A 25,593-nucleotide genomic window follows, 5' to 3' on the forward strand; every position below is an offset into this window, starting at 1 on the left:
AATTGTTATTAGGTACAAAGCACACCAGGAAAACCTTTTTTAAAAGAAAAGAAAATTGTAGTACTGATTCCAGAATCTTGGAAAGTGTCATAAATCAGAATTCTTAACATCAATACGTAAATATTACTTTTTATTCCAATCTTATATTTTATTATTAAAAAATACTATCGCTTACATACAATGTGGCTGTATGGGTTAGAAATAGATTAAGTATATAAAATAAATAAATATATGGCTCTAAGTAGTATATATATTATAAATCATAAAATAATATTTTTGATACTTAGAGGAAATCAGTGTGAGAGTCATAAATATTTTCAGCATATCTATACATGGTGAATGCTCGCTTTAATTATACATATTTACATCTCTTTGTATTAAAGAAACACAAGGCTGAAGGATCCAAAATGACTTTACCATATGTCATCAATTCTCTTTTTCCTCGTTCTTGTTTAGAAAAAATAATTTCAAGAGCTTTCCTTACGAAAGGTCTGCATTTTGATTTAAGCATTTAGAGACAGAAAGAAGCATACTTATCTCTGATTATTCTATTCAATTCATATTTATACTTGCATGTACACAGTTACATACTATATTATTCTTAAAGTTACAAGATTAGATGGATTCAAAATTGCCTTAGTAAAATCTGGCTGAATTTTCTGATTTGTGATGTTACCGTTGTTTTTGAAACAATATTTATGGTCTAGAAAACCAATTTTTAATAACTTTCAGCTTATTTATTAATACCCAAACTGTATCTGTACATACCTTGGTATCATTGATATTATTATTATTGCTGGTGTAATATCTTTTAAAAATCCATGCATGAATTATTTATGCTCCCTAAAGTTTCACTCTATTATATATATTACAAAATGGGGGAAAGGTTATTTCATGTTTTTCTCTGTGGGTTTCGATGTTTTATCAATTTAATGTGACTCTCTCAACATTTTAATTTAAAGTAAAATTAATTATAATAATATCCTCCAATCTAATATCTTATGTACTTTAGTTCAACAATACATTATAAAATTTAGTTAAACTAGGAAATGCACCTGTTTCAACAAATTCGTTTAGAGTTTTGAGATATTGTGTGGAAGCTGAATTTACACTGTTTTGGGAAGACATTCCATGTGGCTAAGTGGGATAGTTATAAAAAATTAATTTGAATTAATCTTTATAAACCCAGTGTAAATAATTATGTTACCATAATAACCAGAAATAAGTTTTAGAGTATTTGAAAAATATACATATTCCAGTGGGCCATTAATAACTGAAACATTTATTTCATTATTTCTGGAAATCTCAAACAAATCTTTTATGCTTATGTGTGTTAAAAGTGAAGGAGAGAGGGACAGAGAAAGGGAAAAACACAGACTGAAATGACAAAAGAGAGCATGAGACACAGAAAATGAGAGAATATTTATTCCTGGGGAACCTATAATGTTATCTCATTAAATAACTTTAATATTCCTTCTAATATAAAGTGAGTTAGAAATGAAAGGTCAGTAAATGACAGGTTCTATGATGTAGCCTAAATATTTTTCCTTTCTTCACTAATGTACATGTTTCTTTAAAAATTAATATTGGCAGAAACATCAAATTTTTAATGTCATTTCTGAGTGAATAGAAACACTAATATTTAGTTGAAATATCCTTGCCATCATATAGAAAATATTTATAATTTTATTAGTATAAGTAAAACACTTTTGTAAATATATTTGTTAAAATATAAATTTTTTCTATTGCATGGAAAATTATAACCCTTGAAGGATATTTTTAAAGTACATAAATTAATATTCAAAAACCAAGTAACCGATGTTAAACAAAAATTATGAGTGGTCATTATTTTAGACTGAGCTTCTGCACTAGGCCCCAACAGACCAGAACAAACCAGAATGGAGTCACTTGTGCTAAGTGCCATGTAATCAAATTGAACTTTAAAATGGTCCAGTTAAAAAAAGAAAAAAACAACACAGGAGATTTGCAGCATCCAATCAGAAGGGGCCCAGTTCACCAGAGCTAGCATGATAAGGAAGTCCTTTCGGTTTTGACCCTGTAAGAAAAGTAACTTTGAAATGACCAATCTGCCTTTCATGCCTTATTTCTGCTTTCTTCAGCCCTCTTCTGCTTATAAAGCCAAACTCCTGTGCTCAGTTCATTGGAACACTCATACTATTCTATAGAATTAGGTGTTACCCAATTCTAGAATTGCAAATATAAGCCAATGAGATCTTTAAACTAACTTTGTTGTAATTTTGTTTTTTAACACTGAAGAACACAAAACACCTTTTAAAACGCCATTTTCTCTCATCTGTAAGTGTGTTTTTTACATTAGAAAGGGAGGGATTTAATTGAACTTAGTATTTTCATACTGTATTTACTGCTACAAATACGCAGTAAAATTTATGGTCATGCTACATGAAAGTCCATCTCTTAAGGTATTAATGAATATGCATAAGTTATGTGTGTACTGATATGCATATATATATGTTTGGAAATGCAGGTTAAAATATTTCTTGTAAGTTACATGACTAAACATAGAGAATTGACAGACAATTCTGATGTAGTAAGTTGAAAATGAAGGGAAAAATACGATAAAGAGTGTCAATTAAAACAGAAGTTACACAGTCTTCCTGATATTTGAAAGAAGTTAAAATGGAATAATTCATTCTTATTACTTCTAATTGGAAAGCACATATATTTTATGGTCCAAATTCATCATCTATAAAATTAACCCCTAAAATGTAGCAGCACAAGTGATTAGGTTGCTGAAGACTGTTTGACAAATTTACTGAAATCCATTCTGTCGTGTGAATGATTTTAATATTAATAATTAGAATGAGGTTTTATTCTGTACACATCAGATCATTCCATGGAGTTAGCTTAGAGTGTGAAGTAAGAATGTATTTTGAAAGGAAATAAATCTAGACTTCTATAGGGAAAAAAGACTTTGCTTAGGGTCAAATACAAAAGAATAGCTCTAAATACTTTATAAATGAAATGGCACCTGTATCTATCCACTTATTTAATTTAAATGTAGTAACTGCAACTATGTACTAGGAACTGAGATAGATTCCAGAGATTCAAAACAAGGTAGAATTCTTGCCTTTGAGTATCTCACTGGCTTAACTGAGAAGGCAGACAAGAAAACACACAGTTCAGGTCACTATAAGATGCTCTTTGAGGGCAGTTAATGTGGACTAGGTAGGGATGAGGGGTGGCTTAATAAACTTGGAGACATATGAGTTGAATCTCGAAGCTTAGGTAAAGTTAATTAGCTGATGAATTGGGGGACAGAAGTGAGGAGAAATTGAGTGAAGGGTTGTTATGTAAGAAGGAGGGTAAATATAGATCCTAGGAGAGTGGTTAGATGACAAATCTTGAAAGCCTGAAGTGACATACTGTCAGTGGGAATGAGAAAGCGGTTCTTTAGTGAATGGTCTTTTTATTCATCAAGTTAGAGAATAAAAACAGTGTGTAAATTCGGGAAAAAGGGAGAAAACTAGTTTAGTAATAGACATGTAGAATTTGAGATACTCATGGAACTTGTGTTCATGGACTATTGAACATAATAAGTTAATTTCCTCCTTATGATCTCTCTTTGATAAATAAGGAGCAGGAGAGTGAATCCTGATTATGTAGGGCCTGATGTTTATAAAAATTGAGGCCCCCCTTTAAGAAAAAATATGCAAAATAAATGTGTACAAACTTTTATAAAAGTGATGTATATATATAAATATGTATAAATAAATACTTATCTATAATAAAAAATCACATTAGATTGTAAATTTAAGATAGCTTACAAACATTACATCATAGGATTTCAAATAACATAGTTTTATAAATTAGTAAACTGCTTAATGCTTCGTTTTTACATTTTTATATGGTAATTTAAAATAATATTTGTACTGAGGTTAAAAGATAATTTTCTTTTCCTCTAGAATGATTTATTAAGATATGTTTAAATTGATGATTTATTAGGAATGTTCCACTTAGCTTCACAAGTCATCATTGATAAAGTAAATTTTTAGTATTATTGTTAAATACGTGAAAATCAATATTGGGTTTTTGGTCATAGCCAAGCTGTAAGACTTGCAGGCATTTCAATTTTTTGTTCAATGACTAACCTTAAGTACTGTTTGAATTCATGATATACATTAACCATTGTTACGTTAATAACATGACATATTGTGAGTTTTAGGTATCTTCATTGATGGCGATATTTCATAGAGATTTATAAAACATGTACTTTACACATAAACATGCCTGCTTGTTGTAGAGCTGATATAGGCTGTGCTCTACAAGCACAGGAATAATGATACATTTAATATCATGTAACTTTCATCAATAATAAAAATTTAAAATTGTTTATACTGCATTGTTAACTGTATTCCTGGAAGAATAACGCTTCTGTTTTGATGACACATTAAAGAGAACTGAATGGGATGATTAGAAGAATTTTCCAAGGATAAGCTTTGAACTTTGTACATTTCAAACCTCATTTCTCCCCTACTATACACATATTCTGTTACCAGGCAGGCTCTGGACCATTTTTATCAAGACATGTCTTCTGGCTCTTTAAATTTATGTCAGAAAACCAGTGTAAAGTCACACTGAGCAATGGGGATATGCCTGGAAGTCATTTTTACACCAGGAGAACTAGCAATAACAACCATACACAAAAATATCCATGAACCACATATTATAAGTCTCAGGGTTCAATCATGTAATTGGACCTCATCCTCTTTTAGTCAGATCCTAAAATGCTCATGCTCATTCCAATGCTACTAGTCACTAGGTAAAGTGTGATGAAAAAGGAGTTGGAATGGAGACAAAAGTCTTTTTTGTTTTTTACTGTTTTATTTTTCCATATAGATGCCCAATTTTTCTGGTTAATACCAATACATATACAGGGCATGGGGGAGGGCTCTTAATTATCTTCCATTGATATATTTGCCTCTCTATGCATTACTACTGAGCTGGCTTAACTAACATTGTTCATAAAAATTCTTGTAGTTAAAATACCCTCTTTTTAAAATATCAAAAACTCAAATGAGAAAGGCAATACAACCACATTGCTAAGATCCTTCCTATAGTCTTGAAAGGAGTCCTTGCAAGTGAGAGACACTGAAGTTGAAGATTCATTGCCTTCAAGAGCATCTGCTTCTGGGCACACATCTTACTATAGCATAATACTGGTCAGAGACCATAATTTAAAATATGACAGCTACTCGGGAGGCTGAGGCAGGAGAATGGCGTGAACCCAGGAGGCGGAGCTTGCAGTGAGCCGAGATCCTGCCACTGCATTCCAGCCTGGGCGACAGAGCAAGACTCCGTCTCAAAAAAAACCATGAATAATTTAATTACACAGAATTCTAACTATAGGCATAAAGGTAACTAAATGAAAAATACATGACTCATCAAGAAGAGATAAGTAAAAGTAAATAATGTAATTGGAGAATAAAACATTATGAATTCAACAAACATCTGCCATTTTCAGGAAATGATATGTACATAATTGAAGATTAGTATCTTAGACACCAAGATATTTATGATTTTAATAGTTGTAAATATAATTTGTATCAATTTTATCAAATGTATTATATTCCAAATCCAATTATCTGCTTTTCGGAGTGTGTTTATTAGGCTAAACTTGTCTTGATTACGAAGAACACTGTTACCCAATAATATAATTCAAGTTGTAGATTTCTATATGCTGATAACCTCTATATTAAATTACCTTAAATTTTCATGCTCCTTGAGTTGCAGATTTTAAATAGAAGAGGAGGGTATGTATAATCAGGAAAAGACTGGCTGAAGGACTGTTGTCCAGAGAGATTTTTACAGGGTTTTATTACTTGAGTCACCTAAGACTTGAGTCTTATTATTATTATTATTTTGGTCCAGAAGGTTCCTGGGTGACTACTGAATCAGTAGGAGAATAACTGAATAATTTACATGTGTGTGTGTGTGCATGCATGTGTACAAGCAATATAATTATGGCTTTTATTTTAATTATTAGAATATTAAAATTTCTTGGGATGTGATTATAATTTATGTGAGCAATCAATTTAAAGCACAATCTTTTTTATCAATCAATTCATTACTGTATTAGAAATCACGTTTTTGCCATGATGGCATGCTTCACCAGAATCTACATTCAAATTATTCCCACAGAAGGAAATTATTGTATCAGTAGTGCTAAACGTTTATACTGATTTTATGATAGCATTATCACTAATATCTAATGTCTCACCTTCATCCAAATGAACTTCCAAAAAACTTTATTTAGAGTGCATGAATTGAATGAATTCAAATCATCTTTGCAACAAACAGATGTTTCATTTAAAACATTCTGATCACTCTGATATAAAAATGGCATTACTTGATCTTTTGGAAAAGTTATTCTGCTAATGGAGTCAAGATATTAACAGCTATAACTTCATTAATAATACACATAAAGAAACTTGGAATTGAAAATTAACACTAATTTTGAAAAGTCATTTGATCTAAACGAAAAGTCATGCTTCAAAGAGTGATATGCAAAGGGACTTTCTGCATACTAAATGATTGCTTTGGGGCAGAGAATTAACTATTAATTTTAAAGCAGATGCTCATGTTTCTTCAGCATAGTTGTGTTTACTGATTTCTGCATAGTCAATGATATCACTGGAGCTCTCATTGCAGATGGTAAATGTTCATAAATATTTCACACAGATTATGTATTCATCAACTCTTTAAGAAACAGAAATTCAGAACTATTTTTTGTTTTGAAATTCAGATTATTTTTATTTAAAAGACATTTTATTTTTAAGCTATCTTTTGCTGAAAAGTGTTATTGCAAAATAAAAATCTATTATAAAGTAAATATTTATAAACTATATATTTAATGAAAAATAAAACATTGAGGAAGTATATTCAAGCCATTCACTATACATTCTTGGTAAAACTGCTCATGCTCTTTTTCTCACATACATTTCATGAACATCTAACCTATGATTTGTCAATATCTCCACAGGCATTTCTGATTGGTATATTTGTGACCCTTTGCAACTCTCAGGGAGCTGTGAGGTCCAGGCCACAGCATAATGGGCTGGCATAAAAGGGATACCAATTCTTCAAAAGTTGTCACTTGTTTTTGTGTTTAAAGAACATTGGAAAATAGTTTATTTTTGGTCACGTTTTAGGTATAATGATTACTATTAAAGTCAGATCTCTCTTCCTTGGACGTGTGTCTTACACATTACAAGAGGATAACACAGCAAAAGCTGGATTTAGAAATTGGAGGGCTGCCAAACACATCATCATCATTCTTCATTGCAATGCACTTATTAATAGCAATACTTAAAATACAATACAGTCCTGGGCAAATGCTAAATTGGGCCAGATGCTAGGACACCAGAAACAACCTGAAGAATCTTAGGTAAACCTAATTATTATGGTCACAATAATCCTAAAACCCTCTGTGAACTAGCCCTTAGTAGCTTTCTGACATCCGACTGCCCTTCACTCTGTTCTAGTCTCCCTGGGCTTCTTGCTAATGTTTCCCAAACTTACACAATATTTTCCAATCATTATGCTTTTATGCTTGCTGCTCTCTCTGCCTTAAAAGCTCTTGTACAAGATGACAATGAGCTACCTCCTCATCTTCACATCTATACTCAGCCAGTTCTTCTCCACCTCATTTAAAAGAACAACCACGAAACCCTCACCAACAATGCACACTCCTTGTTTACATTCCCTGCTAATATATGTATATTTCACCTGTTTATTAGTTTAATATATGTTTTCCATCACTAAAATATAAGGCTGTGAGGGCAAGAGTTATTATCCGTTTTGTTCAGAGTGGATTGGCAGTGATGAGATTGTTCCTGGCATCTGGTAGCCATTGAATAAATGTTTTGAACCAATTCATCTGCTATGGGTTTTCTTATTTTTACTTATTGGTAAGCTATCATCAGTTAACTGCCTGGGGCTGGAGGTGAATTTGAGCCAGTAATTTTACTATGTACACTTACATAACAGTAAATGGGAGGATATTTAAGTAAAATATGTTATTTATTAAAAACTTAACTCCTATAGAAAAAAAATCAGAAACAGATTACTTTAGTTCATTTGTGCTGCTATATGAAAATAACTGAAACTGGATAATTTATAAATGACAGGTATTTATTTCTCACATTTCTGGAGGCTGGGAAGTCCAAGGTCAAGACATCAACAGATTTGTTGTCTGGTAAGGCTTATTATCTGCTTCAAGGATGGCACGTTCTTGATGCATCCACTCATGGCAGAGGGATGAATGCTGTATCTTCACATGGCAGTAGAAGGGGAAAGGCGAGAGCTAGTTCCCTTGAGCCATTTTATAAGGGCATTGATCCAACTCATGAGGGTAGAGCCCTCATAACCTAATCATTTGCTCATTGCTCCACCTCTTAATATGATTGCATTGGTGATTAAGGTTCAATATAAATTTTGGAGAGACACAAGTATTCAAACCATAGCATTCTGCCTCTGCTCTCCCAAAATTTATGTTCTTCTGATAAGTAAAATACATCCATTCTATCCCAGGAGCCCCAAAAGTTTTAACAATTTCCAGCATCAACTAAAAAGTCTAAAGTCCAGAGTCTCCTCTAACCGTCATCTAAATAATACAGAGTTACCACTCCAGGTACAATTTATTTTGAGGAAAATTCCCCACCAGCTGTGGGCCTGTGAAATCAAGCAAGTTAGGTCCTTCCAAAGTACAATGGTGTACGATAGAATGGACAATACCATTGAAAAGGGATAAATAGGAAAGAAGAAAGGAGTAACAAGTCCCAAGTAAGTCCAACACCCAACAAGGCAAACAACATTAACTCTTGAAGCTGGGAATAACAAAAACCAAAAAACCCTCTTTGACGATGTGTCCTGCCTTCTGAACACACTGTGCAGAGTTTAAGCCCCTAAGGCTCCGAAACCCCCATTCCTTCCATGGCTGTGCTGTGTGCAGCCCACACTGCATTTCTCACTTGTTAGAGTTGAATGCCAACAGCTCTCTCAGGCTGGCTTTACTAGCCTGGAGTCTCAGAGGTGGCCCAGCCCCCATAGCTCCACTAGGCATTGTCCTAGTGGAGGCTCTCTGCAGGGGCCTGAACCATGTAGCAGTTCTCTGTCTGGGGTCTGGGGATCTCAAGGACCTCTCCATCCTTTGAAATCTAGGCAGAGGTAGGCATGCCTTCACAGCTTTTGCACTCTGTGCCTGCAGAGTTAGCACCAGCTGGATGCTGCAAACCTTTGCCACCTCTGTCTCCTGAAGGGTGGCTCTGGTTGCACTGAGGCTCACTGGAGCCACAGATGGAGTGGCCCAGGAGTGCTGCACTAGAATGCATTGAGCAGAAACTTGAGGCAGCTCTGGGAAGTGAGCCCTGAGATCCCACAGGTGCTCTGAATCCCTCTTTGAAGTCTTTCTGTCCTCAAGGCCCTGACACTGTGGGCCTGTGATGGGAGTGGCAGCCTTGAAGATCTCTGAAACGTTTTCAGGGCCACTCTTCCATTGTCTTGATGAATAGCATTCTAGATTCCTTCTAGACATACTAATCTACCCAAACTTTCATTGGTAACACCCTTGGTGTTTTATCATAAACACATTTCTCTTTCTTTACCAATTGGCCAGTCTGAGAATTTGTCAAATCCTTAATTTTTGCTTCCCTTTTGATGACAAATTCTGTCACTAATTCATTTCTCTCTTATTACATCTTACTATAAGCAGTCAAGGGAAGCCATGCCACACCCTCAACACTTTGCTTAGAGATTTCTTTTACCAAGTATCACTCCATGGTATTTCATCACTCTAAAATTCAACCTCCCACAAAATAGTAGGACATGGATACAATTCGACAAAGTTCTTTGCCACTTCATAACAAGGATTGCCTTTCCTCTGGTTGCAAATAACTTGTTCCCCATTTTCGTATGAAACCTCATTACAATGGCCTTTCTTATCCATATTTCTAGCAACATTTTGTTCGCAACCATGTAGATAATCTCTAAGACTGAACCTCTCTCTATGGTCTTCTTTCTTTCTTCTTCTATCCCCCACCTCTCCTCCTCCTCCTCTACCTCCTCTTCCTCCTCCTCTTTCTCCTCCTCCTCATCCTCCATATTGCAGCCTCTCCCCAGTCCACATAGCACCTTCTACGTTTTTAGGAATTTGTTACATTAGCACCTCACTCCTTAGTACCAATTCTGTCTTAGTCCATTCTAGCAGCTATAACAAACTACTTTAGTCTGTAAAGTCTAAAAGTCTATAAAGGGTAATTTATAAACAACAGAAATGTTTTGATATCACAGGGGTACAGCAGAAGAGCAATTTAGCCCAGGATGGATCATACCTTGAGTCTCATCCATATCTGATTTAGAAGATATTTAGATGAGACTCTGGGTTTTAGATTTTTGAGTTGGTATTAAAACAAATTAAGACTTTGAGACTATTGGGATGGAATGAATGTAATGTATCTGTATGTAAGAAGAACACGAATTTTGGGGGACCCAATCCAGAATGCTATGGTTTGAACTTTCATGTGTCTCCAAAATTAATGCTTAAAATTAGTGCCCAAAGCAATAGTATTGGGAGGTGGGGTACTGAGGATGTGATTAGGTCATGAGGACTCTACGCTTACGAATGGGATTAGTGAATTTGTAAAGGGGCTTGAGGAAACCAGCCAGCTGTTTTTCTGCTCTTCTGCCATGTGGAGACTCAGCATTCATTCTCTCCAGAGGATACAGCAAGAAGACACCACCTTGGAAACAAAAAGTGAGCCATCAGCAGATACCAAATCTCCTGGCCCCTGGACCTTGGACTTCTCAGCTTCTAGAACTGTGAGAAATAAATTTATGTTGTTTGTAATTAGCCAGTCTAAGGGATTTTGTTATAGCAGCCAGAACAGAATAAAACACAAGTTAAAGCACACACACAAATACGAAACGGTCATTTCAAATGGCCAATTCAGAACATGTTTGTTTCTTTAGAGTGTTTCAGCAATTTTGATAGGCAATAATCTTTAAACAGTGACACACAGATCTCTAGTCTAATTGCTATTTGGCCTTTGTTGGTGAGATAGATAATAAAAGCTAGACTTTTCAACATCTTTAAAATCATAGTGCATTTGTGGATGCATGTAAAAGGTGACTAAAGGCCTACAATGACTCAAAGGGGGAAATTTGTGTGAAAGGCAAGCAATTATGTGACCTTATTCATTGTGGTAACATATTTTTGTTACTTTTATTAATCCATAGATCTTTAATTTTAGAAGCATGAATCAATTTTCATACTCCATCACTCCAGTGACCAAGGCAGAATCAGAATTATGCTTACACATTTAATTGGGGGAGAGCTTGCCGAATCATCTGCATTTTATTTTATGATTAATCATGAGAAGGATAGAGTTGAGTGCTTCACTTTTATATTAGTAAAGAAAATTTTTTATTTTTGAAATTTGCAACAGAGCTCAATTAAATTTTGATGAACATTTCCTTAGCCTTTTGAGGATTCTGTTCATTTCTGTGTCATAATTTCATAACAAGAGGCATATGTAAAAGGTCATAAGCTCTGATTTTCCTTAAATAAAATATGGTAGAAATTTGGTTATATAAAATGATATTTTAAATTAAGAAGATAATGAAATCTGTGAAATCTGTTATGCATTTTCTAAATTATACATTTATTTTAATAGGAGAATATATTCCAAAGTTTCACTATGAAATATGCATATTTGAAATATGTAAATCTGTAGGTTGACTGTTGCATTATATTTTTAAAATTATGTGTCGTTTGCATTTAGTTCAGGTAGATGGAAGCAAAGATTTCTAAGAGCAGCTTTCTCACACACAATTAATTATTCTTAATTATCCTGATCAATCTGAAAAATAATTTACATATTTTAAAGTTATCTTGTATTTTATTTCAATTCATTAAGTGCTTCCTATTTCTCACTTAAAATTTTAGAAATAATGTGAGAATAAACCATCTGTATTTTCATGAAGATTAGATTCAGAAGGGGAAAAGTAATGTCACAAGTATACAAAAAACTTGATATGAACTTTTCATAAGTCACATTAACATGTGAAGTTGGTGTACAGCTAGAGCTATACATACTTATTTTAATGTAGTGAAGGAAAACATATTGTTATATAAAGCCCAAGAGTAATTTATATTTTATATTTCATCTCTTCTAACTAACCTATACCTCCAAATAATTTATTCAATTATATCACAACATGTTCCATTAGGAAAGAAACAACTTATTTGAAAGAGACTATTGTTTCAGACACCTTGAAACAGAATAATCAGGATCAGGGAGAGATGATTTATATAAAGAGATAGAATGGAAACACATAATACACACCCATTTCTGTTTTAAAAACAATTAAAGATAAAAAATGAAATGCCCAGTGAGTTTTAGTATTTGCCAGATAATTTAGATTAGGAATAGTTTTAGTTCAAGAAAGTTATTTCCTCTTATAAACATAGTTTTTGAAAAAAAATAAAGTTGGGATAAAAGAAGAGTTGTATACCAAAAGAATACATCAATCTGGTGTGGTAAAGAGGAAAATATTTTTAAAAAAGAATTTGGAAGAATGCATAACCACAGGTTTAAAGTAGCAGAAAAAATGCATACTATACTTTCAAGAGTATGCATTCAAAAACCTATTGTTAGCATTGGAAAAGTAATAAACTAGAAATGGTGATAAAACTAAAATGTATAAATCACCAAGGGTATCAGAGTAATAGGGAGACCTTATGAAACAGAGCAACTTCTAACGCCATACATTAAAAGGGAATCACTGCAATAGGACACTCTTAGCATGATCAGGGGCAATACAGCTAGAAAACAGGGCTGGGAGGATTCACAAGTGAGCAGATCAGTCATTGAGTTCAGAGAAAGGGCAACATCATAGCCTGGCCAGAGTCCCCGTTCTGAGCAACTACCTGTGGCATTTGCCTTTAGGATAAACAAAGACTAGCTCTCTAACAGAAGTCTGAGTCTGACACTAGGGATGCAGTGTGGGCATCAGTATCAGAGGCAAACAGGACATTCTCATGTTGATCAAGATGAAGCTAAAAGTTCAACACAATTATATTTAATCATTTTTTAAAACAAACTTTTGACATTGAATATTTTCAGCCAGGCAATTCTACTCATAGCCACTGATACCATAAAAATATTTGAACACACTTTCAAGAATATGCAGATAAATTGATAGATATTGACGTAGCATATTTGGTAATAATTGTAAAACACAGGCAATATAAATATTCATCAGTAATGGGATGGCTCACATGATTATGGAATATCATGCAGCAGTTAGAAAAATGAAACTGATCAATGTCTACTGAAACGGAACAATGTGTATCACCTGCTTTAGAGTGCAGAAAGCAAGTTGCAAGATAATATAAAATCTATATTCTGTTACGTAAAAAACTATCTACCTATATTTCATATATATATTTCATATATATATACTATATATATATACACCTATATATGTGTGTGTGTGTGTGTGTGTATGAATACGTTATAGATAGAGGGGAATATGCTCATTTATATGTGTGTATTAGATTGGGAAGCTACAGCAAACAACCACAATAATAATTTCTGAGGAGTAGTAGTGCTCAAAGTGGGACCTTTAAATTTTTTTCTAAATAATATTCATTGTAGTGTAGACTTTTTACAGTTACATACATTACTTTCATTTTTTAAACATGTTAAGATAGAGCAGAGGATAACAGGATGCCTAGAACTGAAAGAGTAGAAGGAAACATGTAGTACATATTTAAAGTGTAGTAGGAAAAAAGTGAGATGAGAGAACAGGGCTAAAATCAAATTTATTCCAATATATTTACATAGTGCTACAAAACAGTCATGTTTTTATTAATTATTAATTCATATTTGTACAAATAATACGGATAATAAACCACATTCACTGAGGACATGCTATGCAGTAAGTACATTGTTATTTGCTTCATAGGCATTATCCCATTTAACTTCACAACTATCCTATAAGGCAGGCAGAAATCCTCATTTTACAGATAAGATAATGAAGCCACACAGAGGTGAAACTGTAAGGCTTGTAATTAGCAGAGCCAATTGACCTCTTGTTTAACTATGAAATACAGGAAAATCCTGGATTAACTTGGTTTGATTCAACTTACAGGGGTCTTAGAATGGCAACAGTTTTGAATGCACAATATCCTAATTCAAAGAAGAGCTACTTTTTTGAAGTCCAGAGAATATTAAAGGACAAGAAAAAGAGCCATCCTGACTGAGCTTGAGTTTACAATACTTTACTTTTGCTTGGCTTTATCTACTTGGGGACTTCCTGCATGTAGCTAGCTCACTTAGCCAACAGTCTGATCATGATCCTCTAGATTCTGGATTGTGAAGCTTGACAAAGACATTGTTCTGAACTAAATTCCTGTGATGAGCCTGTCTTCCACAGGAAGGAGGTTCTGCAGATCACTGCTCAGCATTGGGAAACTGATCCCAGACAGCAGGCAGCAAGGCAGTAGAAGAAAGAGCTGAATATAATGCTGAAAGACTATGCTAATTAATTATACTTTATGAATGTATTTTTTGGGTAAGACACTATGGTACAAATTTTATTCTGAGTTTTTAAAAGAGTACTATTTAAATACTTGGTTTCTGGTTCCTGAGAATGAGAAGTAAGACTAATTTTAAATCAACTGCCTTTTTTTTAAAAAAAAAAAATGAAGCATGCATAAAGCTTATAGAGCTTCTGTCCACTTCATGTGGTCTAATGTTTACCCTCATGTTGACAGAAAGAAAAGAGGTCAATGAAATAAAATGACATTAATTATTTAACTAAGCCAAATTAATGGTGATTTGTTTAGGTGCATATCAGTAACTTCAAAAGTATACAGTTTATGTTAAAAATTTATTTTACTAGATCTTACCTGTTAACAATGAAGTATAAGAGAGTGATATTGATTAGATTTGGTAAGTAGTAAATGAAATCGTATGATTTTTTTCATTAACCCATTTATGCTGGAGGTTGCAATTTTTAAAATTTAACTTGAATTTAAAAATAAGACCTTGGCAATGACCTTAAGCTGTAGAATATAAATAACTCCTACATGCTTAGTGTTCCAATAATGGAACACTAGGCATAAATGGACTAACTAGCTTTCTCTTTACTTTTAGCAGATATTTTAAATATAAGAAGTACAATAAAAGAGAATCGTTCTTCAAATACATGGTTTGGCAGTGTTCAAACTGGCATTCAGCTAGTTTGTCGTGTGTGTGTGTGTGTGTGTGTGTGAGATTAATATCATCATTAGTACAATAAGGAGCATTACTTCACAATATTTAGAAAGAAGAAAAATCTGCTAGAAATGGACTATTTTGGAAAACCAGTATTTGCACTCATTTCTCTTACGTAGTTGATATTTCATTTTTATGTACTAATATGCTGCTGTGTTCAAATAACATTATTTCTACATATGTCAGGCAGCTTATTTAATTAATTAACATTAACTGAGTTAATGGTAATAATATTATCCTTGGACTTACCCTGGCATTGGTCCATTTCCAGAAAGACTGTAAACCTGACGAGGATTTAATAGATACTGGAATTTTCTGTAAATTCTATAAAGGTGAAAATGTGGGGAAAAAATTTAATAATATTCAATACTTTTAAAATAAGTAATGTCTCTCAGTGTTATAAAATATATATAGTTGCAATTAATTATATAATTTAATAAAAAATTTCTATCAATTTAATAAATTTTGAATCAATATCAGAAGTCCAACAGCTCAATAGGAATTAATGGTTTTTTAAAAGGCTTAGTAGCCACTATTAAGGCAATATAGTTCATAAGTTAGAAATATTGCTTGGATCCTTAATATGCACATACATTTAGGATATTCTCTAACCCGCTTTTGAACATTATTTAGCTAACTAGATTTCAAATAAATGTATTTTTTTAATATTTCAGTATAAAATTGCCTAAATATCTTCTCTCAGTAAATCCTTGTGAATAATTTGTCCTCTATAGATCTCTGATAGATCTGAAAATTATCTATCCCCTATATGAAACGGGACTGTACATTGTATATGTGTACATGTAAGCAAAGAATGTAGCCTCATCTGGCCTAATCATTTCACATAAACAAGATCTTGACCAGTCATCTCACAAAATTGCTAAACTGTCTTAGCAGCATATGACAAATAATTCTTTTTTTCTGAAAGAAAACAATCTTTATAAATAAATGCAATAGAAATGTTTCTATGCATGCACATATCTCACACTGTTTTAATTCTTAGACAAATACTAAAAGTAAAGAGATAAATAGTACATCAAAAAGTTAATTTACCACAATCAGTTAGGCATTATTCCTGGGATAAAAAGTTGGTTCAACATACACAAATCAATAAATGTGATTCACCACATAAATAGAATTAAAAGCCAAATCCATATAATTATCTCAATAGATGCAGAAAAAGCATTTAATAAAATACAAAATCCTGTCATGAAAAAAAATCTTCAACAGACTAGACATCAAAGGAACATAACTCAAAATAATAAAAGCCATCTATGACAAACCCACAGCCAACAGCACACTGAATGAGCAAAAGCTGGAAGAATTCCCCTTCAAAACTGGAACAAAACATGCCCACTCTCACCACTCCTATTCAACATAGTTCTGGAAGTTCTAATCAGAGCAATTAGACAAGAGAAAGAAATAAAAGGTATCCAAACAAGAAAATAAATCAAGCTCTCTCTCTTCATTGATAATGATTCTATACTCAGAAAACTGTCAAAATTCCACCAAAAGGCTGTTAGAACTGAAGAATTTTAGCAAGGTTTCAGGACACAAAATAAATGTATAAAAATCAATAGCAGTTCAATAACATCCAGCCAGAGTCAAGTCAAGAATACAATATCATTTACAAGAGTCACACACAAAAAATGAAATACCTCGGAATACAACTAAGGAAGGAGGTGAAAGTGCTCTACAAGGAGAACCACAAAGCACTGCTGAAAGAAATCAGAGGTGACACAAACAAATGAAAAAAAATCCATGCTCATGGAAGAATCACTATCGTTAAATGGCTATTCTGCCCAAAGCAATTTATAGATTTAACACTATTTCTATGAAACTACCAATGTCGTTCTTCAAAGACTTAGAAGAAAACTCTTCTAAAATTCATGTTTAACCAAAAAACAGCCTGGATAGCCAAAGCAAGCCTAAGCTAAAAAGAACAAAGATGGAAGAATCACACCATAAGGCTACAGTAACAAAAACTGCATGGTACTGGTATAAAACCAGACACTCAGGCCAATGGAACAGAGTAGAAAACTCAGAAATAAAGCTGCAAACCTTCATCTGATCTTCAACAAGGCCAACAAATACAAAACAATAGCGAAAGGACTTCCTATTCAATACATGTTACTGGAATAGCTGGCTAGCCATATGCAGAAAAATGAAACTGGACTCTTTTCTTTCACCACATACAAAAATTAACTCAACATGGATTAAAAATTTAAATGTAAGATCCCAAGCTATATTTCTAAAAGAAAACCTAGGAAATACCCCACGTGACAATGGCTTTGGCAACACATTTTTTATTAAGTCCTCAAATTGCAACAAAAACAGAAATTGACAATTAAGCTACAGAGCTTCTGCACAGCAAAAGAAACCATCAACAGAGTAAAGTGACAATCTGCAGAATGGGAGAAAATATTTGCAAACTATTCATCCAACAAAGGTGTAATATCCAGAATCTATAAGAACTTAAATCAATGGGAAAAAAACAACAACAAATAACCCCATTAAACATGAGCAAAATACATGAACAGACACTTCTTGAAAGTCATACAAGCAGGAAACAAACATATGAAAACATGCTTATCATCACTAATAATCATGGAAATGCAAATTAAAACCACAATAAAACACCATCTCACGCCAATCAGAATGGCTATTATTAAAAAGTCAAAAACCAGTGGATGCTGGCAAGGCTGCAAAGAAAAGGAAATGCCTCTATGCTGTTGTTGTGAATGTAAATTAGTTCAGCCATTGTAGAAAATGGCTTGAATATTTTTTTAAGAACTTCAAACAGATCTACCATTCAACCCAGCAATCCCATTAGTGGGTGTAAACTCGAAGGAAAACATACCATATACCAAAAAGATACATGCACTTTTATTTGCATCCCTGCTGTATTCACAAGAGCAAAGACATGGAATCAACCTAGGTATCCATCAATGCTGGGCTGGATAAAGAAAATGCGGTACATATATAGCATGGAATACTACACAGCCATTACAAAAGAATGAAATCATGTCCTTTGCAGCAATATGGATGGAGATGGAGGCCATTTCCCTAAGAGAATTAACACAGAAACAGAAAACCAAATACTGCATGTACTGCACGAAATGTTAAGCAGCAGCTAAACATTGAGAACACACACACTTAAACATGGGAACAGTAGACATGGGGGACTACCAGAGTGGGGAAGGAAGAAGTGGAGGAAGATATGAAAAAAACTACCTGTTGGGTACTACGCTTGCTACCTGAGCATAATATACTCATGTAACAAACCTGCACATGTACCTCCTGTATCTAAAGTAAAAGTTGAAATTAAAAAGATTTTTTTAAAGTTAAGGGATATATTTAAACCTAAATTGGTTTTATATACATGTGAAAATATGATTATTTTATAAACAAATTCTTATGATATTTACTGATAAAACTCTCCAAATTCAGTATGTAATATCTGCTCATATCACCTAGAGTTGTTCTCAATACCCTCTTTTCCCTGGCACCTGAACCTACTAGTGGACAACTCTGTGCCTTCCTAAAAGAAAACCTAGGAAATACCCTATCTGACGTTGTCCTTGGCAACAAACTTAAAAAAAATGCCTATCAAACCTGGCTATTCTATCCCACTGCCTTACTTAAGGTCTTCAAGTTCTTTCACCAGCTTTATAAATTTCTTGGCAATCCAGCCTTCCTCTATACTGTTGTCTAAGTACAGCCATGCCTTATCCATGATGCAAAGTTTATGCCAGTGTCCAGTTATTCACAATATAAAATTAAGACATCTTCACAATTCAGCCACAGTTTCTCTCTCATCTTTCCCCTCTTTTTCCTTACATTGTCATCCCGGTAAATTCCTCTTGGTTGACACCCTGCCATTTCACAAGTCTGCCTTTCTCCTTCTTTCATTGGGCAAACATCTACCATATAATAACCTATAAAGAAGCTCCTTCTTCTCTAAAGACTTCTTGGTCTTCAGAGATAGTTATCTCCTTCTCTGAACTTTGATAGCACTTTTATCTTAAACATTTCTACTTCAACCTGTAATATATGGTATTGCAACAGATCTATTTATGTCCCTGCCTCTCTGCACGACTGTGTATTATGCCTCTTATTCCCAGTCACTAGTAGAGTTTGGATTCAACTAGGCATTGCTGTCTGAACACATATGTGAACATTTTCAGACTTATTGATTGATATGGAAAAGTTTATGTGGATTTATGATTCTGTGACCTTTTGCAACTTATCTAACATATCAAAGTCAAAAAAGCCAAAAAATTTGGAAAGGAAAACACTGAACGGGATCACCTTGTGAAAGGTGCCTCTTATGCAGGCAGAAAAATTATGTTTGCATTGAAAACAGATCACCTTTAAAACATATTTACATTTCATTTGACTTCGCGTGGTCCCAGTCAATGAATAAAGAACAAAACACACGTGGATGTGTATATAGAAGAGCTCGAAGTTGAAGCCCCCAGTAAATTTAATTTACTTAACATTTTAGTGTAACTATATATATATATATGTATATTTTTAATTTAGGGAAAATTATTTATATGTACTGGTAGAAAGGGAAGGCAAATATTCAACTAAGGGTCATTCTACATGATTCATATTATCTTAATTGGAGAAAAATTATTTTCCTTTGAAAATACTATTTTTTTTCTCTTCAAACTTCAATATTCTGTAATTTCCAATGTGGATTTAAGTCTCATCTAATCCTTTGTGGAAAGTTTTCTTTTTTTGTTAAACTATCAATAACATATACAGCTAACTGACTGTAAATAGTAAAGAAGAAAGTAATTTCAGCATTATTATTTAATGATTATTTTATGAGTAAAACTATTCCCTTTAATAAAGCATTAGGAATATTTTTAATTATTAAAACATTATTTAAAATAATTTCTATCATGTTTAGAGGAGTAAAACATAACTATATACTGATGAAAAGAAAAAATCTTATACTCATTTTATTTTATTTTATTTTATTTTATTTTATTTATTTGAGACAGAGTCTCACACGGTCACCTGGGCTGGAGTGCAGTGGCACGATCTTGGCTTACTGCAACCTCCCAGGTTCAAGTGATTCTCCTTGCCTCAGCCTCCCAAGTAGCTGGGATTACAGGTGCCCACGACCATGCCTCGCTAATTTTTTCGTATTTTAGTAGAGACGGGGTTTCACTATGTTGGCCAGGCTGGTCTCAAATTCCTGACCTCATGGTCTGCCCACCTCAGCCTCCCAAAGTGCTAGGATAATAATCTTACACTCTTTAAAGCAAAAATGTTTTGTTGATTCAATAATGAAAAGCATTCTTCATTTCATGGAAAGAAAGCTGGAAAGTTAAATGGTAGAAAAAAATTACTTTATTCATGGAAACATTTCAACTTTGCTATTTGGTGAGCCACAAAGGAAATTTGTTATACTGTTATCATGTTTGTTATGAGTGCTTTCATCTGCTTGCTTATTTTTGGTTGAGATTAGGAGAGTTATCTAAAAAGCATTAAGGCAGGTATAAATGCATTTTTGTTTATGACTGTCATCTTTAGGAAGACATAAGATTTACTCTTCAATGTAGTGATTTTCATATTTGTATTAAATAATATGATTTAATCATTCATTCATTACAAAATAAAATGTTATCAGCCAGAATGCTGAAATACCTGATAATGCAGCTCATTATTATTCAGATTAAATATATTGTACTTCTCCAGGAAATATGGCATCATGTTCTCCAAAATGCACATGCAGAAAATCATTATAATATATTTTGCCTAGATGTTGGGTATAAATTCGGTTCCTCAGTACTGAATTATGATTTATGTGGATTCATCTTGTTAACCATTTAGAGAACCAATTTTCATTCAACAGTATTTATGAAGCCAGACTCTTTGTTAGGGGATAGGGGTGATAGGTGGGGTAGAGAGAATTCAAACACCTGAGCTATAATAGTAAAAATAGTTACAAAAGGCCATTGTATTAAAATTTCAATCCTAAAAACAAGATCATATAAACATATTAAATGCTAGCATCATTTATTTTGCATTAAAATTAGCAGAGAGGAATAATTGTTTTTAAGCATTTTTACATCATAGTTTTGTCTATTTTTTTACATATACATGACATAGACACTAAAATCAATCAAAAAACATACCGTTCTCCTTGTTTTCCACCACTTTTGGGGTTCACAAAAACTAAAAGTGGGTGAGTACCAGGCACAGGAGTGACCTATAAGAAAAGTTATATACATGGAAAAATTATTAGGCCCATTATATATGAAGAAGACTCCTTGTTATTTCTAAATTATAAAATACCAATACGCAATTTCAATAATATTACTTTCCACAATGTGTGTGTGTGCATGTGTGTGTGAGTGTGTGCGTGTGTGTGCGTGTGTATGTGTGTGTGGTGTGTTCAACAGGAAAACCTCCTCCACAAAGAAAGGCATGCCTATCTAGATAGAGGGCCGAGGGGAAGGCAGTCAGGAAGAGGGAATAACATTTGTAATTCCTGTAAGATAAAAAAAAAAATTACGATTTTCAGACAGTAAGTGAACAAGCCAGAATACAGCAGAATTTGAGGAAAAAGGGATGAGAAGCAAAGAAAGAGATCAACTTATAGAGAGGCCTCCTTTTACGCAGGAGTCCTAATTGAGAGTTTCGAGGCATGTGTGGAATCCATCTTCCCAACCACCTGTGAACTGGAAAGAAACTCAATAAGATCCTTTGAGGTCCCTTTTGGCCTAAGAGTCCTTATCTACACAATTTGTTCAGTGCTTTCTTTTCCTCCTTGCTGAATAGGTTGCTAGTTAATCAAGTATATTTGCTAAGTAGAGTCCATTAACTATTGATCTCTCTTTCAGGTAACACGAATTGACTCGACTATACGTCATGTGCTACTGCTTTCATCACAACTCAGCTCTCAGTTGAACAAGAAAGACAAAGTTTCTGTCCTAATGGAGCTTATATTATAGTGGAGAAATATACAATAAACAAATACATATTTAGCAATGAAACATGCCACGATGGGAAATAAAGCAGGTAAGGTGATAGCACGTATTTTTGTGGGTAGAGTTGTTTTACGTAGTGTGGGAAAGGACAAGTGTTGTCTCTTACCTGATTCCAATGTTAAATAACAGACTTTTTAAAATAAAAGTATTCCTATTCAATGTAACCCTATGTAACTCCCATCTAAATACAGTTTGATGAAAAAAATTTAATAACAAAAGTATTCAGCTAATTGTGTCCTCTAAATACTAAGTTGAACAGTTTTGGATCAATCTGCTTTTTTGAAAGTACATTCAAATTATCTTTACTGCAGTGTTATTTCTCCCCTAGAAAGTAGTCTTAAATGTTTAATGAGACAATTAAAAACACTCATTTTACCATATCATGCCCTTCCTTCCTGTTTAACAATATAAGTTAAAATATTCTACTAACATATTTTCCTCCACTTCTTTAGTAAAATGGCATTTTTCTAATGAGAATAGGCAATGGGGAAATGTTAAAATCTCCACATTACCGAAGTGGGAAGATTGACTGAGATACTCGTAATTTTTCTATTCATATCCAACTAGCTCTCATTATAATTTACTGTGTCTGTTTCTATTTTACTTTCCATTGCAAAGAGGACAAAGTTTCTTTCTTCCTAATTTGTCTCCAATTCAGCTGGGAGAAGGATGAGCAGGAAAAACTTATGCACTAACTTCCCAGGTCTCCCCTGAACCAAATGTGTGCAATCAATTAATGTACATAAAGTGTCTATTATCTTTAAGCCATGGTGGCTGCGGATTGCAATGGGTACCCCTTCCTCCCATTAAAAACTAAAATCAAACAAACAACTATATCTAAAAACCTGTGTTCGATTTTCTTTATTTCTCATCCTATTACAAATTGAAACTCCTAACGTTTTCATAAGCAAATAGCAATAATAAATAGATGTAGATTTTAGTTGACTTTTTAGTCAATTTGAACTGTTTCTACTGGTTTTTAAGTAGAAATGGGAATCTCAAAGTAAACAGATTTTTAAGCATGAGCAAAGTATTAACTCTGAACCCAAATACTCATTAGGATGAGTTTTCCTTTTCTCCCTAAAGTCAACATTCATTTTATAACTATATGAGATTATACAAAAATTCATGCTGAGTCCAATATATGGAATTATTTTCAAACTATGTTTTGAAATGTCTCTCAGAGATATTTAATTGTGAGAATATTTATAGACATCACTATAAATTGTCAAGTAAAGGGGAATTAAAATTGTATTTTAAGTTATATACTGTTATGAACAAATAAATATCCCACTGGAATAGATTATAGTCTGTAAGGAATTTCAAAATAAAATACAAAATCTTGATGTAATTTTTAGGGGTAGTTAAATGGAGAAACAGATTAAATGTATTAGAAAAATCAGAGAATTTAAAGAATTTAGAGCAATGATGATATTCCACAAGTGGCAAAAGTTGAATATCCAATATGGATATACAGGAATAATATCAATCAATTAGCAACCATTATTTTACATAATACTTCTCTCATTATTGAGTATGAGTTCATTTTCAGACAGTCCTAACATATAAAGTATGAGATAAGTAAAATTGTGGATATTATCACATGTAGTCTTTCAATTAGTTAATTTGATCTGTTTGATTCCAGATTCTGGTTTTCAGAGAGGTCCATCAAATAAGAACTATCTTTGCATTGTATTGCAATGCAAAACATGTCTACTGACAAAATGAATATAAATAGTTTTCTTAGTTTCTGAAACTCAGTATATCTGATTTTGGTGAATAAAGTTTTATGGAAATATCTTACATTAATATTTTTTAAATTTTACAGTAATATTTTTATTTTTTTGAAAAACTCTCAAATTTACAGAAAAGTTGCAATGACTCTCAATTAACTTTTTCCCTCAACCACTTGAGAGTAAGTTGCCAAAATTCTACTCCATCACTACCACTCCCATTTACATTAGTATTTCCTACATATAAAAACATTCTCTCGTATATACATATATATACATATATATAATATACATATATACATATATATATATACACACAATACAACCATCAATAACAGAAAACTAATATGATTTTGGACTAGTTTTGTGGAAAAAAACTATTATTGGGACAACTGATGAAACCTAAATGGGATATGAGGTACCAATGTAGTTAGGTACCAACGTTATATTCAAGCTTACTAATTCTCTTTTGGATTGTATCCAATCTGTCTATGAATTTAGAATTTTTACTTTCACAAAACAATTGTGAAATAATATGTAAAATTCAATTATTCTGAAAATACATTTGCTGCAATCCTAAAATATTGTGTCCTTTTTGTTATAGATTTTGGTGGAGTAGGAGGTGAAAGATAAAAACACAACTATGTCAAAAATTCTGTCAGCTGAAAACTATTCATTCTTTGAAGTACATATATTTATACAGCATTTGAGATCATCTGAAGTAGAACAGCATATAGAACAGATGACTTCCTAGTTGATTTGTTTAAAGGATGAAAGAACCCTCAACCTGCTCTCAATCTCCCATGACTCTTCCATTGTGCTTGAGGCTCTCTCTACAGAGCCCTGTGTCTTTTCAAAACAGTTAAACAATACTTGAGATACAGTAATACGGTTTCACACACACAAAAATACTGATGAAGAGAGAAAGTGTCTAGGAAAGATTTTATAGCATCTGTGGTAGTTGAAATCTTGAAGAATGGTTATAAATTTGATGTGCAGGGTATTCCAGGAGACTGTTCACACTGGATTCTCCACCATACTGAATAGAATTCATCATGTAAAATCTTACTTAATCACATAAAGGGGCAGTTAAAAACAGTACATTTAAAGAGCATGATTTTAGAGTTAGACTGGTTTTGGATCCCAGTTCAATCACTTCTCTCTATATACACACTCTGTCCTTTAATGATCTCATCTTATCTGATGGCTGCCATCAATGCCTTTCACTCCCAAATTCATGTCTGCCTTTTCTTCTAATTTCTAGGTTCACATATTGGTCTACCTACTTGATATTTTTATTTGGATATCTAACAGCAGCAGAAATTTCCCTCTAAACATTCATACAGATGCTCCCCTATCTCAGTCAATGGCAATTTCATCATTTCAGTTGCATGGTCCAAACTATTAATATCTTGGAGAAGTTCCTGATTCCTCACTTTTCTCATAAACCCTGTAGTCAATTCATCAGCATATCTTTTGCTCATTCCTCAAAATATATGTAGAATCCCATCACATCTCTCTACTTCCACT

General features: G+C 33.2%; 1 protein-coding gene across 26 annotated transcripts in view; it reads right to left on the reverse strand.

The window, feature by feature from the left end:
- DGKB (diacylglycerol kinase beta) overlaps positions 1-25,593 on the reverse strand; it is an 829,810-nt gene that overhangs the window by 446,816 nt on the left and 357,401 nt on the right. For all 26 annotated transcript variants that reach the window (XR_001744571.2, NM_001350722.2, NM_001350711.2 and 23 more), the window contains 2 exons: positions 21,476-21,549; positions 15,570-15,644 (listed from right to left, as the gene is read on the reverse strand). Coding sequence is in view for 25 of the 26 variants with exons in the window: in NM_001350722.2 (NP_001337651.1) it covers positions 15,570-15,644; positions 21,476-21,549 (149 nt within the window). In the remaining variant the exon portion in view is untranslated. The remainder of the gene's footprint in view (positions 1-15,569; positions 15,645-21,475; positions 21,550-25,593) is intronic.

The sequence above is a fragment of the Homo sapiens genome, chromosome 7 (assembly GCF_000001405.40).
Source record: "Homo sapiens chromosome 7, GRCh38.p14 Primary Assembly".
In the NCBI taxonomy this organism is placed as follows: Eukaryota; Metazoa; Chordata; class Mammalia; order Primates; family Hominidae; genus Homo; species Homo sapiens.